Source organism: Homo sapiens, chromosome 5 (genome assembly GCF_000001405.40).
Source record: "Homo sapiens chromosome 5, GRCh38.p14 Primary Assembly".
NCBI classification, from domain to species: domain Eukaryota; kingdom Metazoa; phylum Chordata; class Mammalia; order Primates; family Hominidae; genus Homo; species Homo sapiens.
Genome location: NC_000005.10, coordinates 180,062,788 through 180,077,686, shown reverse-complemented (window position 1 = coordinate 180,077,686; position 14,899 = coordinate 180,062,788). Strand labels below are relative to the sequence as shown.

Here is a 14,899-nt window from a genome sequence, read left to right as displayed (position 1 = left end):
AGACATCTCACTTTTTGAAAGCAGGTGACATGACTATCATTGAAAGCTAAATCACTTGCTCTGAAGTAGAAGCTTATATTAAAATGAACGTTTATTTTTTTTAAATTAAAAAATGGTATTTGTACTTATTAAAGCTCCTAAGGAGAGTCGCAAAATACCCTTGCCGTGTGCTTGCCCTGGCGACCCACTCTGGGGACCTGGAGCCTGTCTCTTGGCCTTCTGTGAAGCCCATTAGATGGACACGGCTTCTCAATGGATTCTTTTGTTTTGAGATGGAGTCTTGCTCTGTTGCCCAGGCTGGAGTGCAGTGGTGCAATCTCGTCTCACTGCAACCTCTGCCTCCCAGGTTCGAGTGATTCTCCTGCCTCAGCCTCCAGAGTAGCTGGGATTACAGGTGCATGCCACCATACTCAGCTAATTTTTGTATTTTTAGTAGCGACGGGGTTTCACCATGTTGGCCAGGCTGGTCTCGAACTCCTGGCCTCAAGTGATCTGCCCACCTTGGCCTCCCAAAGTGCTGGGATTAACAGGCGTGAGCCACCGTGAATTCTTCACAAGGCAAATTCAGCAAATCTGATGTGAATGTGAAAAAGCTCGGCCAGTATCAGAAGCATCTCTTGTGTGGTTGATGTCTCCATAGAGCCCTTCACCTACAGCATCTGTGAGGACTTTAGGGTCTATAAGGAACACAGCCTCCCTGGACAGCCTGCTCCATGGAGTTGGACTGGGTTTCTGCAGGGCTTTTACCTGCAGCCACAGCTGGGGGTGGGGTTTCATAATTACCAACAGTGGAAGCCGCCAGCATAGATGGAGACTTACAAGGGGCAGGAGCAGGAGGTGGGCGTGGGGAGGGAAGACACAGATAAAAGAGGCTCAGGTGGGGAGGAAGGGGGCAGCTTGAAAATATGGCGCCAGTGCCTACCAACACGAAATACATGCCTGCACATGACACAGCATCCCACTCCGAAGGACACTCTCAGAGATGCAGACACATCCCCACCGAGAGGCATGCAGGCTTCATAACGGCTTGATCCATCACATTCACAAACGAAAATCAATATGAATGCCCATCCACAGGAAAATGGATAAATCAACAGTGGAACACTATACAGCAAATAAAAAGAGCAAACTATACCTACACACACAAAAACACGAAATCTCACAGACATAGGTTAAGAAAAAGAAACGACACCAAAGATTCCATATTGTATGATTCTATTTATATTATATAAAGTTCAACAACAGGCAAACTAATCAATGGTAACAGAAAGCAGGATAGTAGCTGGGTATGGTGGTGCACACCTGTAGTCTCAGCTACTCGGGAGGATGAGGTGGGAGCATTGCTGAGTCCAGGAGTTCAAGCCTGCAGGAAGCCATGATTGCATCACTGCGCTCCCGCCTGGGTGACAGACTAAGACCCTGTCTCTAAAGAAAGAAGAAAAGAAATCAGAATGGTGGGGTGCTCACGACGGAGCAGCTCAGGGAAGCTTTCAGGAGTGCTAGTAATGTTCTCCATCTTCATCTAGATAATGGGTAAAGGGTGTTTCCGCCTCATAAAAGACGTTTTGAGTTGTAAACATAAAATTTTTGCACTTTATGTATGTTATGTTGCAATATAAAAAAGCAATAAATGTATGAAAGAAGTAAAAAAAAAACACAATATAGTGCTGGGTGAAGAGGATCAGAAACAGAATGACATCAATAACCCAATACAGTTTAATAATTAAAAAGCACAGGCACATTAAGCAACAACACACATTTTGCAAGAACACAAACAAAAGAGACGCATGAGGCACACTAAAATGGTTCCCTATGGGTCAAGGAATGGGAGTGAGAAATAGTGATAAAAGGGAGCATGTTAATAATGAAACAAGAGCAGGGCCTTCCTAGGACCAGTGGGGATTATGTGCCATTCAAGAAAGAAAAGGAAGAGGAGGAGAAAGAGGAGTTGGACTTTGGGAAATCTGGGCAACCCCCTGGGGTTTGTAGCACTGTTCAGGGGACCCCCGCTTGGTCTCTGATTGCTGGCATCCCAAACTCTGTGCAGCATGCTTTACACACACCCATTACCCTGTCTGCTGTCCTGGGAGGGCAGACATTGCTCACAGGGGAGACAGATCTCCTCCTGAAGGACTGAAGCTCTTACGGGGCCTGGATGTGGGAGGCTGGCAGCTCGGGCCCCACTGGAGTTCTGGGGAGAAGGGGATTTTGAGCTGGGGCTTACAGGTGACCTAGGATTTATTGTAGGCTGAGAAATGGACACAGAGGCAGGGGAATATGGTGCGTGGTGGAGTCAGGGAAATAACCCCATTAAGGAAAAAGGTTCGTGGGCAGCTCATTCACAGGCCAGCGTGGGCCAGAGCCAGACTGCGGCACACATCCTCCGTGAGACCTGCCATGTCCGATAAAACCACTCGTACTTTTATTTAACCAATACTTTTAATTCACTTTTTTCTTAAATGTTTTAAAAGATAGCATCGTGTAAAGATATACACATGGCCAATAAGCACATGAAAAGATGTTCAGCACCACTAATCATTAGGGAAATGCAAATCAAAACCATAATGAGAGACCACCTAATACCCATTTAGATGGCTACTATTTTGAAAAAGAAGTAGAGAAGTGTTGGCAAGGATGAGAAGAAACTGGAACCCTTGTGCAGTTGGTGGGAATGTAAAATGGGGCAGCTACTATTAAAAAAACAGTAGGGCAGTTCCTGAAAAAAATTAAGCATAGAATTACCATTAGATCTGGTAATTCCACTTCTGAGTATATACACAAAAGAATTGAAAGCAGGAAGGGATATTTATACGCCCAATGTTCATAGCATCATTATTCACAATAGCCAAACAGTAGAGGCAACCAAGTGTCCTATGATGAATGGATAAACAAAGTGTATTATATACATACAGTGGAATGGATGAATGGCTAAAAAAAAACTTGGAATATACATACAATGTGATATGATTCAGCCTTAGCAAAGGAGGAAATCTGATACGTACTTCAACAGAGGTGAACCTCAAGGACATCGTGCAAAGCAAGATAAGCTACTCACAAAAGGACAAATACTATATGATTCCACTTATGCGGGTAAGTAGAATCATCAAAATCATAGAGACAGAAAAGAAGAATGGTAGTTGGGGAAGGGGGAACGTTTAATGGGTGCAGAGTTTCAGTTTTACAAGATGGAAAGAGTTCTGGAGATGGATGGCAAAGGTTACACAACGATGTGAATGTACTTAATGCCACTGATCCATATGCTTAAAAATGGTTAAGATGGACAATTTTATGTTATGTGTATTTTACCATAATATTTTAAAAGGTAGCGTTGTATCACTATTATAAATGAAAAACTTCTTGTCTCCCTAAGGTCTCCTTAAAACCTTGAGGTTTCCTTAAAAGACAATGCCACTCCCAAGTACAGGCTGGTGTGAATGTTGCCGTACATGCTGGTGCGTGATGAGGCTGTGCACCGAGACCTCATCTTGCTTTATTTAAAGGGGAGATCAGCAAGTGCCAGGGAAGTGTTAAAGGTGCTCTGGAACCAATTTTCTCCTTGACAAATTCAGAAGGGTTGAGAAAGCCACTTCCTCCCCACCTGATTAACAAAGTGGTGCTTGTGAGCTTCTATAATTGTTTCTTGTGCCAGGGGTCATGGGCACCTTACAGTTTGAAGACTCCTCCTTTATAAGGACAAAGGAGTAGAGGCCATGAGCCTCTTGGGCAGGGGTAGGCCAGGGCATGCCCAGCAAGAAGAGCAGGAGACCGTCACCGGGAAGAGCCCTACACAGGCCCTAGATGTGGCCCTGGGCTGTGGGGAGAAGGAATTTCTGGGTCTTAGGTGCTAGAGCATGGGTACCTTGGTGCTAAGGACTCCTTGCCCTATGAAGGGTCCAGCTGGAGGGGACCAGATTAGAGCACTCTTTAGGTGCCAGGCCCAGGGCGAGGACCCCGCTGCTTTGGCCTAGGGTCTGTACTTGCCGAGGATAAGTAAATAAGTAAAAGCCGTTCTCCATAGGCCAGGGCACGGTTTATAAGGACTATGGTAGAGGATGGAAGAGAGGGAAATGGAGGGAGAAATTGTAAAGGATGTCTGCCAAGTCATCAATAGTGGACATCTGTTTTCTTTCTTTTTTCTTTTTCTGAGACGGAGTCTTGCTCTGTCGCCCAGGCTGGAGTGCAGTGGCTCGATCTCTGCTCACTGCAACCTCCGCTTCCCGGGTTCCAACGATTCTCCTGCCTCAGCCTCCCGAGTAGCTGGGACTACAGGCACGCATCACCACGACTAATTTTTTTATTTTTAGTAGAGACGGGGTTTCACCATGTTGGCCAAGCTGGTCTCGAACTCCTGACCTCGTGATCCGCCCACCTAGGCCTCCCAAAGTGCTGCGATTACGGGCGTGAGCCACCGCGCCTGGCCAGTGGTGGGCATCTTAAGTTTTAGCCTGCACTGCATCCGTACCCTTTCCTGGAAACAGTGCCTCAAATTTCTTTTTGGGGAGCCACCTCTTTTCCGGATTTTCAGAACATTTGGTTGTGCAAAGCTGACTCCACCCACTTCCCGCAGTAGGAGACAGGAGACTCAACCCTGGCTGGTCAGAAGACGCCAAACTTTCCCCCTCCGCCTCCCCACAAAGATCCTGTAAGTTCCTGAATTCGGCTGCACTGCCCCATTCTTCCTTTTAGCTGATACTTTATAGCGATGTGTATCTTTTAAACGCCATGGAGAGAGAAAATGAGAGTCGTGTGTGTGTGCGCGCGCGCGCGTTTCGGAAGGTGGAGGGGGGGTTCCCACTGCAACCCTCTGGTCCGGGGGCCCCTGGAGTAGTTCACCTAGTCACTAGAGCAGGGGCTCCCCAACCGCCCGGCCGCGGACCTGTACCGGCCCAGGGCCTTCGAGGAACCAGTAAGCGAGCAGGAGGTGAGTGAGCATCACCGCCTGAGCTCCGCCTCCTGTCAGATCAGGGCGGCATTAGACTCTCATAGCAACGTGAACCCGGCTGTGAACTGCGCATGCTTGGGACCTAGGTTGCCCACTTCTTACGAGAATCTAACGCCTGATGATCTGAGGTGGAGCAGCCTCATCCGGAAACCACTTCAACTCCCTCAGTCCCTGGAAAAACTCTCTTCCTGGAAACCCGTCCCCCAGTGCCAAAATGGTTAGGGACGGCTACCCTAGAGGTCTTTCCCAACCACTCGTGTCCCTGCAGGTCCGGGCCAGAGACATCCCCCATCCATGATGTCAACCGCATGACGTGAATGTTAAATCTCATGACATTTAATTTTAAACATTTCTTTTAAAGTTATGGCTTTTTTTCCTTTGTAGTCTGTTCTCACACATTTCCATACGTCCTCGCAAATCTCCCGGGCTCCACGCCCTGCGGCTATCACGCCTGACAGAGAAACAACCAGCACCAGCGGCTGACCCGGCTGCCCGGGCCCTCGTGCAGGCGGGCGGGAGCGGACAGGCCCTGGCACGCATGCGCTCGGGGCGGGACTGCGCCTTAGGCCTGCGCGTTGCCGCTAGACCAGCGGGGGGGCGGGGCGGCGGCGGACACGCGCCTCAGGCGGCAGCCGCGCGAGAGGGACTTTGTGTTCCGCTGACCCTCCTCGGGGCGCTTCCTCCCGTGCCGCCCTTCCCCTCCCCCGCCGCGTCCTTGCGAGGCGCCTCCCATTCGGTGGGACCGACCCGGGGGGATGGAGGGGGCACGCTTCTACAACCCTCCTGGGACCCCGAAGAGACGCCCGCGTGCGACCTGAGACGCCGCCCTCGCCGAGGGCCCATGGGCGCGTCCCCACAGGCGGGCAGTGGACGTGAGGGCGGCGAGCGGCGGGGCCGCGGCGTCCAGGAGGGCCGCGCTCGGGCTCGGCCCCGCGCAGGCCGCGCGCGCGCGCTCCCGCCGCCGCCCGGGCCGCGCCCGCCCCGCCTCTAGGCGCCGGCCCCGGAGCCCGGTCCGCGAGCAGCGGCGGCTGCCGGAGGGACGATGAGCTGCGCGGGGCGGGCGGGCCCTGCCCGGCTCGCCGCGCTCGCCCTGCTGACCTGCAGCCTGTGGCCGGCACGGGCAGACAACGCGAGCCAGGAGTACTACACGGCGCTCATCAACGTGACGGTGCAGGAGCCCGGCCGCGGCGCCCCGCTCACGTTTCGCATCGACCGCGGGCGCTACGGGCTTGACTCCCCCAAGGCCGAGGTCCGCGGCCAGGTGCTGGCGCCGCTGCCCCTCCACGGAGGTGAGTGCCGGCCCGGGGGCGGCGGGCGGTGGTCGCTGCATCCCGCGTAGGCGGCGGGACTAGGGTTCCCGGCCCCGGCTCTGGCCCTGGCTCTCCCGCGCTGCCCGGCCGACAGCCCCAGCCAGGGTCGAGGCTTCCGTCGTGGACAGCCCGGCCTGCTCCCGTGGGAACCAGGCTCCAGGAGCGTGACTGGGTTTTTCCCTTCTTTTAAAAAAGACTTGGAACGGTCATCTTTGCGTTCAGGCAGCTCGTTTGCTGGAGGGCATTGAGCTAGGAGTTTGCAGGGACAGCGTAGACAAAGGAGGTGGTGCAAGAGCGCAAAACTACTTCATGGGGAGGACGTCTCAGCCTGTATTTTGGAAGCGGCAGGTTCCTCAAATCACGGACTTAAGGCTGCGCTAGATCTGGAAGGATGCGGCCCTTTTCTAATATAAAAACGTGCCGTTTTTCTTAAGTGGTAAATTGGGGGGGGGGTGTAAATGGAAAATGGACATCTTCCCTGTTGCTTTTGGCTCTTGTTCTTGCCCTAGTAGTTTTACTGTAATTTGACGCCTGAAAATGTCACATTATGAGGATCTGACACTAATCGGAACTACTAGCCAAGGCTTTTCAGGTCACGGGTGCCGACCAAAAGGGAAATAGGTAAAATTTTCAAGAATTGTCTTTGAAACCATTCGGCTTAATGTCATGTTTTCCTATGAACAAGGACTTTGTTTAGTTGATTATTTGGTGTAAACATGTATTTGTTTAAATTATTAGTCATGGTTTGAAAGAAACCTTTTGCACATCGTGGAATATGATTTTTTGGGTTTTGGCCCACGCTGAACTTTTGGGAGATATCTGCCATTATCCCCACCCTCATTGTCACCCTGAGAATGCTGAGAGGGGATTTTTCTTTTCTAAACTGCTGTTCATGTTAGGATGACCTAAAGTAGGCAACCTAAATAAAGTCATGATTTGCTTGTACACTCTTAAGATACTAACATATTATGCCCCTCTGAGGTCTGTATTTGTATGCCAAAGTGCTAAGCTGTTTTCTTCTTTGAGACAGTCTGGCTGGGGAAAAATAATCACATAAGGCTTTTACTGTAGCCTGTCCGCAACTCAGACTAGGCTTTGAAAAGTCCGTTTTACACCAGTAATCAGGTGCTTAAGGTGCATATCTCATCTCTACTGTGTTAAAAATGGCAGTTAGGGTCCCAGCTTGGCCGTAGAAACAACTTTTGTCTTGGGTTCATTCAGTAAATATTTGCGTTCCTGCTCTGTGCCAGTCACTGTGGTTGAGATGCACAGTGTTGCCAGACTGGCAACTAACAATGGTAGCCTCTTTTCTGGTGGAGAGAACCGTGAGGGTCACGTGGAAGGGTAGAAAGAGGAAGGGGAGGCAAGCTGTTGTGGAGCAAGAGCTGGTCCTCTGCAGTGTTGTGAAATCTGTGGTTTGTCTTTGAGGCTTGGTTCCATCAGGCACCCCAAATCCATGGTCTGAACTTCAGATCCTTCCTCCACGGTGTTCGTGTGCTTCAGCTACTTGTTGCTTGCCTGTCACCCCAAACAAAAGCCCCGTCTTTGAGAAAGCTTGTTTTAGGTGTTTCTGTAGAAGGGTATTGGAAACTAACTCATGTGTATTGAGGTATGGATGAAGATTAGTCCTGTTCCCCTCTCAGTGGGGAGGCAGCATTGTAGGATTAAAGGTTCTGAGTCAGGCCTGTGCTTTACGTCCATTGTGTGACACTGTAAAAGTAACTCTGCCATTTAGCCTGTTTGCTCATCTGTAAAATGGAATGATGAAATGTACATCTCTTAAGGTTGTTGACAGGTTTAAACGGTTCCTTAATTCTGAAAAGAGGAGATTTGTTAACCTAGAGGAATCTCTCAGTTGGTGAGATTTCAGACACTGCAACAAAATGAACACATTTGGGCAGTGTGTGAAGACTGGGTGTGAAGTCAGTCCCCTTGAGTTTTAGCCTCCCTTTCCTTGATTCCCTAGGGGTCATTCTGTGTCCGTCCCACAGGGGCTTGCTCCAGGTTTTCTCGGGGTGGGGGTGAGGGTGGGGGATCCTACAGGTGGTTTAAGTCTGGCTTTGTACCAAGGGTCTTCACACATACGCAGTTTTTCAGTCCAGCAAATATTAATTGAAATCCTGTGTGCCCAGTCTCAGTCAAGGCATTGGTGAAGGAGAGGCAACAGCAGTGAACAAAACAGATTTAAAAAAATCCGTCTCTATGAAGCATAGCTTCTGCTGGGATCTTTGTAAGTTAGCCTACCTGTCAGTAGTTTCTAAACCTATGGGTTTATATGAAATCTAAATCTTCTGCTGTTGCAGTAGGAACTTAGGAATTTATTTTAGAAACAGAAATGGTGATATAAATCTGTTAAAATTATTCGTGTTAAGAAAATGATTTAAAATTGGAATACTTGGGTATTTTACATTATAATCTTGATTTAATGAGTTTAACAATTTTTTAGTTTTAGAAAAAATAGTGCATCTTTATGACCTTGATGCTCTTATAATTTTGAATTGAGGAGAATTCTTGACATGTTTATTGAGGACTTACTGCACGTTGACACTAAGCAAAGTAATGCTCAGATTACACACAAAGTTATCAGACAGGTCCTGGTGGAAAAACAGCTGTGGCCAATACGTGAAATTCATGAAAATTTGTTTTGAGGGTGTTTGATAGAAATGAACATAAAGACAAAAGAACTTTATAGTTTTCCTAGAGTTGAACCTGATGGCTCATTTTGAAGCTGTGGATTGATTTATGAAACTAGAAACCTTCCTGTTCGCTTTGCAGTGCTACTATCAGTTTGGCACGTGTGAATTTCTGAATAACATTTATTTGTCCTATCCCTTTAAAGAGCAAATAGTCAATTTTTTTCTTAGGCACTTTGGTATTTTAAAAGTATATTTTGGCAAGTGCTATACTTTACGTAGTATACTTTATGAGATATCTTATAAACAAGTGTACTTTAAAAATATGTCTTTGTCATTAAGTCGAATGCATTGGTGGGTGTAGAATCATTTGCCTGGGGCTAACACATTTTATATTTTAACTGGTAAAGAATTCGTGTTTAGAAACGGAGTTTTGAAGGAACATGTCTTGTATTTATGCACAGATCACGGTTGCTTTCTTATTACTTACTCAAATGGTGAGCTTAGAACTAGGAGCAAAATATTTAGTACCTTTGCGGAGCAGCCTAGCTAGGGTCTGCTGTGGAGCAGACATTGTAAATGTGCTTTATGTGTGTGCACACTAACTTTTTGTTTGGCCCCAGAGTGGGGGTTGGGAGAGGAGAAAGCCCTGTGTTGATGATGTGATTATGTATGCAGATGTGCTGGTGGGGAAGAGTTTAGTATCGGCCACTTCTTGCTTTGCATAGAAATTTTCAGGATTGGATGTTACAGCCTTAGAGAATAATTTTACCAAATAATAAATCTTGTTTTGCTAACTTGCTTAGGGATACAATAAAACTCAAAAAAGTGAATCTTAGGTTTTCATGTTTAAAAATGTAATCCTATTAGACGAAGCCTTTAATGGTTCCTTTAATGAATCTGAAATCGGTTTTTAGAAATTCTCATGAACAGTGGAGGAGATTGATGCGAAAACAGGATTTGGGTGAAAGGGGTCATGTAATGTTTGAATTCATAACAGCAAAGGCAGGGGCTATTGGACACAGATTTCAAAATATTCAGAGAAAAAGGATATATGATCATGGGAGCAGGGTCTCTGAACATTCAGAAAGAGCTGGAGGCTCTAAAAATCAAATTTTAACATAAATAGGCTGGCAAGAGAAAAGGGGATGTATATAATAAATTATATTTATGTTGAACTTTACAGCTTATGACATGTTTTTACATACCGTGTTTTTCCTTCACATTTGAATGATGATTTCCATTAGCCTATAAATATTTGAATTTTTTTAAAAACCACTTGATCTCTCCACCAAATCCCTGTCCTGCTACCACCCCATTTCTCTCTTACAGCGAACCTCTAAACGTTATCTACATTTACTGCCTCTGATTTTTCCTCCTGCTGCTCTTCTCTTTGTGAAGGTCTTCTATTGCCGTGCCAGTGATTTTGATGAAGACGTGGCATATGTAACATATATTTGATAGCAGGGTCAGAATTGCAAAGATCTTAATGTGTACAATGATGGGCTATATAGCTTTAAAAAAATTAATAGGAATGAAGACATAGATTTGGGTTAAAAAAAAATCACCTTCATGGAGGGGAGCAGAAGGGAGCTAAGGCTTAGCTACCTGTCAGATGACAAAGCTTGTGAGCTCTCACTGACCTCACCCCACCTTGCCCTGTCTAATCTTGCGCTGCATTTGGGCCTCAAGACTAGATAACTTCTGAGATCCCTCCCGCCTTGAATAAGGTGTGACTGTAAATTGGTAAGACATGTCTTTTATTTTATTTTAAGGACAGGGTCTTGCTCTGTTGCCCGGGCTGGAATGCAGTGGTGTGGTCATAGCTCACTGTAGCCTTGACCTCGGGGAGTTGAGTGATTGATCCTCCTGCCTCAGTCTCCCCAGTAGCTGAGACTGCAGGTGCATGCCATTATACCTGGCTAATTTTTTTATTTTTATTTTTATTTTTATTGTATTTTATTTTTTAGAGACAGAGTTTCGCTCTTGTTGCCCAGGCGGAGTGCAATGGCGCGATCTCGGCTCACCGCAACCTCCACCTCCCGGGTTCCGCCTTCCTGCCTCAGCCTCCCTAGTAGCTGGGATTACAGGCATGTGCCACCAAGCACGGCTAATTTTTTGTATTTTTAGTAGAGATGGGGTTTCTCCATGTTCATCAGGCTCGTCTCGAACTCCCAACCTCAGGTGATCTGCCCGATACCTGGCTAATTTTATAGATTTTTTATAGAGACAGGGTCTCGCTGTATTGCCCAGGCTAAGACAAATCTTTTTAAACAAACTTGCTAGACTATACCCATGAGGGACAGTGTTGTTCTTGTCCCTCATGTTGGGGAGTATATTAGTCATATTGGGAAGGTATATTAGTCTGTTTTCATGCTGCTGATAAAGACATACCTGAGACTGGGAAGAAAAAGAGGCTTAATTGGATATACAGTTTCACATGGCTGAGGAGGCCTCAGAATCATGGTGGGTGGCAGAAGGTACTTCTTACATGGCGGCAGCAAGAGAAAATTAGGAAGATGCAAAAGTGGAAACCCCTGATAAAAACCATCAGATCTGGTGAGACTTATTCACTATCACGAGAATAGTATGGGGGAAACCGCCTCCATGATTCCAGTTATCTCCCACTGGGTCCCTCCCACAGCATGTGGAAATTATGGGAGTACAATTCAAAATGAGATTTGGGTGGGGACACAGAGCCAAACCATATCAGAGGGCGTGTGTATGTGTACACATATATGCACATATTATGCAGCAGTGAAAACATTAAACATTATTAGGATGACACTGTTTAATGTTTGTGATATTACCTTTTTGATTGAATAATTTTATAAAGTCTGCAATATGTAAAATTTTTATCTTTTCTTGATAGATTTGAATTTGGACAATAATTGAAAGTTATTCCGAGGCAGTTGTGAATAAGATACCTGCTTAAGCAAGGTAATGAAAGTTTAATTAAAAAAAGAGAGAAACTATAAAGGAAGGAAACATTTTTTTCTGTGTTTGTGAACTCTTTCTTTACATAGTTGTTTTTTTTTTTTTGAGACAGAGTCTCACTCTGTCGCCCAGGCTAGAATGCAGTGGCATGATCTTGGCACACTGCAACCTCTGTCTCCTGGGTTCAAGCAATTCTCCTGCTTCAGCCTCCTGAGTAGCTGGGATTACAGGTGCCCACCACCACACCCAGCTAATTTTTTGTAGTTTTAGTAGAGACGGGGTTTCACCATGTTAGCCAGGATGGTCTCGATCTCCTGACCTCATGATCCGCCTGTCTCGGCCTCCCAAAGTGCTGGGATTACAAGTGTGAGCCACCGTGACCGGCCTAGTGCCTGTACTTTAACCACTTCTTTGTACAGCTTCCCAAGTGGGTTTAATAAATTATGATATATCCACTCAGTGGAGTGTTACACAGCCATAAAACGGGAACATTGTGAACTACGATTGTGTTAAATTTATTTACAGTGGGTGAGGACTCCAGATAGGATGCAGACATAAAAATGGTTGTGTTATATCGATTAGATAATGGGTGACATTTCTCTTAAAAATTATTGTTAATTTTTACTATGAAAGGGGAAAATTTTCCATGAAAGGACAGGGGGAAAAGTTGTACCTTCTGAAGGGGACAACCAGGAACGAGTAGGTCTTTGCAAGATTTTTTTTTTTTTTAAATTCATTCTGTAGCTCCAAGAACAAAATGAATTCCAAGCATTGGTTAGGATTATTAAGGAACTGGAGGATACTAGGAAAATGTTGAAAAAGGCGTGTTTTTTCTCTAGTAAGAAAAGAGGCACTCTAGGACCAAGACAACTTGGTCCAAATATGAAGCAAGCTAAAATATGTCATAATTTTGAGCAGTTTGTGAATCCTAGAGAGAAGTAAGTGGAATCCTAGTTCAGGACTTGGCTTTTAGTGTAATATTTATATGCTGATGATATTAATGCTCTTACTGGTTTTGTGGTTTTCACTGCTTAGAACTAATCTGTAGTTAAAGCATGGAAGACTTAATTCTAGTTACAGAGCAGAAAGCTTGAGACTCTACAAACACAGATGACAAAGGTGGAGAAATGGAAGAGAGAAAAGTTAGGGAGGGCGAGGGAGTCAGTGTATTCATCTCACAGGATGGGGATTCAAGAGATAGTTTCTAGTTGCGAAGCTAGAAAGGTTTAAAAACAGAGGAAAATGAACATAACAATAAAATTGGGAAGAAGGGGAGATGAAGAGTAAGTGAACACACAATCCTAATTAGTGACATCATATATCTGCACACAATTTCCAAAGTTGGCAAACCAAGAAATGATGGCTAGAGACCTGTTTGGAACGGTGGAATAGACCACCAGAAGAACTAAAAACTGTTGGAAGTGGTTGCCTCTGGGGACTATGGGCAGGTAGGGTGACTGGGGCAGGTGTGTGTCATTGCAAGCCATTGAATGAATTTGCTTTTTTCATAGATGCATGCAGTTAAGATTCCCACTCTTTTCCCTTTGCTTGCTGCAAATGAATCTGCTCCCTATTTTTATTTTTTCTCATTTGAGAAGCTCATTATTTTCCCAGCATCTTCTCCAACTCCAGTGACATGCTGTGGAATTTGAGATTGTGCACAAACTAAACAGTATTTCAGGAGACTCTGAAATCAGGGAAAGCTACTGTTAAATTGATTTTATTCCATAAATAGGCTTAAATCCATGGACATAAAATAATTTATTATAATAGGTCCTACGTTGCCTAGCTCATAGTGTTTCCATTTTCTCTGGCACTTCCCTCCTTCCCCAGTCCACTGTGGCAGGCTCTCAGCGGTAATGGAATTGGGCACAGTGTGATTGTGTCCTTTGTCCCCATTGGGTAGAATGAGTTATCTTTCAGCCCCCTCCTGGCTTCTCACTTCTCTTCTTTTTTGATGTAATTCCATGAAATCACCTCTTTTTCCTCTGTCTTCCAAAAATAATTTTGTATTTACAGAAGTCTTTTGTAAACACAAAATTTCCATTGTGGATGAACCATGTACCGTTGGTCTTTCTCATGCTTCCTACAGCTCAACAGCTGAGTGTTGCTGGGAAAAGTCTTAGGTTTGAGATCAGACATGTTAAGAAAAACCAAATGGGCACTTAACAGTGTCCAGTAATCCAAAAATATTTTCTTGTAATGAAATAAGACAACACTGAGACAGGAATTGTTTTCTCTCCACGTACCTCCTGTTACCTCCTCCCGTATCTTGATTTTTAGCCTAGGCCTCTCTAGGTTCATGCGCTTGGCTTCCTATTGGTATCTTTACTTCAGTGTCACAAAGACATCTCCAAATTGATAAGCTCCAGATGGAGCTTTGATTCATTTTTTCACCTCCCTATCTGCTACCACTGCTCTCCAGTCTTTCCCATCTCAATAAATGACATCGCCATCCACCCTTGTTATTTACACAAATTAGGACCATCCTTGCTTCTTTGGCTCACATTCCACATCTAATCCATCCTTCATGATTTACCTCTAGAATGGATCGTACGTATCTGTTGTTTGACATTTTCACGGCTGCCGCCTTAGTTCAGGCAACTATCATTTCCTACTCTCTTTTTCTTGGTCTCTCTGCCTTTTTTCTTAACTTCTTTCAATCTTTTCTTCTATAGTAGCCAAAATAATCTTAAAGGTTCACCCAGTCATGTTACTGCTTGCTTAAACCCCTGCAGTGGCTCGTCATCATCCTTAGAACGGACATCAGAAGTCTCTGTGCAGTATGAGGTGTTCACTACCTGGTCTAGCTCCAGCCCCTTCCTCCTCCCCACCCCCAGGTCATTTCACCCTTACTCACCTTCTGAAACCATTCTGATATTCTTTCAGTTCCCAGGGCTTCTATGTCTTCTTTACAGTGTGTGCCCTCTGGTTGGCATCCCACAGTGTTTGCTATATTAGTGGAACTTTACAAAAATTCTTGGGTTCTGTAAAATGGCCAGTTAACGGGACAGATTGAGAATCTTAGAATGTAATGGCCATTAGTAGTCAACAAGTCAAGTCCCCCATCTGAGGCT

General features: G+C 45.5%; 1 protein-coding gene across 3 annotated transcripts in view, besides 2 other annotated features; it reads left to right on the top strand.

Moving 5' to 3' along the window:
• Positions 5,547 to 6,254: an enhancer, noted in NCBI's record as "H3K27ac hESC enhancer chr5:179498433-179499140 (GRCh37/hg19 assembly coordinates)". NCBI's record gives its function as "activates a minimal SCP1, AML or CMV promoter by ChIP-STARR-seq in naive H9 embryonic stem cells {active_cell/tissue: H9 hESC(naive)}" and the evidence as "EXISTENCE:reporter gene assay evidence [ECO:0000049][PMID:30033119]".
• Positions 5,578 to 5,657: a silencer, noted in NCBI's record as "silent region_16757". NCBI's record gives its function as "represses an Ori minimal core promoter by ATAC-STARR-seq in GM12878 lymphoblastoid cells {active_cell/tissue: GM12878}" and the evidence as "EXISTENCE:reporter gene assay evidence [ECO:0000049][PMID:35858748]".
• The window catches only part of RNF130 (ring finger protein 130), a 160,109-nt gene continuing 151,137 nt past the window's right edge, over positions 5,928 to 14,899 (top strand). For all 3 annotated transcript variants that reach the window (NM_001410829.1, NM_001280801.2, NM_018434.6), the window contains exon 1: positions 5,928 to 6,231. In NM_001410829.1, the coding sequence (NP_001397758.1) occupies positions 5,985 to 6,231 (247 nt within the window). In that variant the 5' untranslated portion in view covers positions 5,928 to 5,984. The remainder of the gene's footprint in view (positions 6,232 to 14,899) is intronic.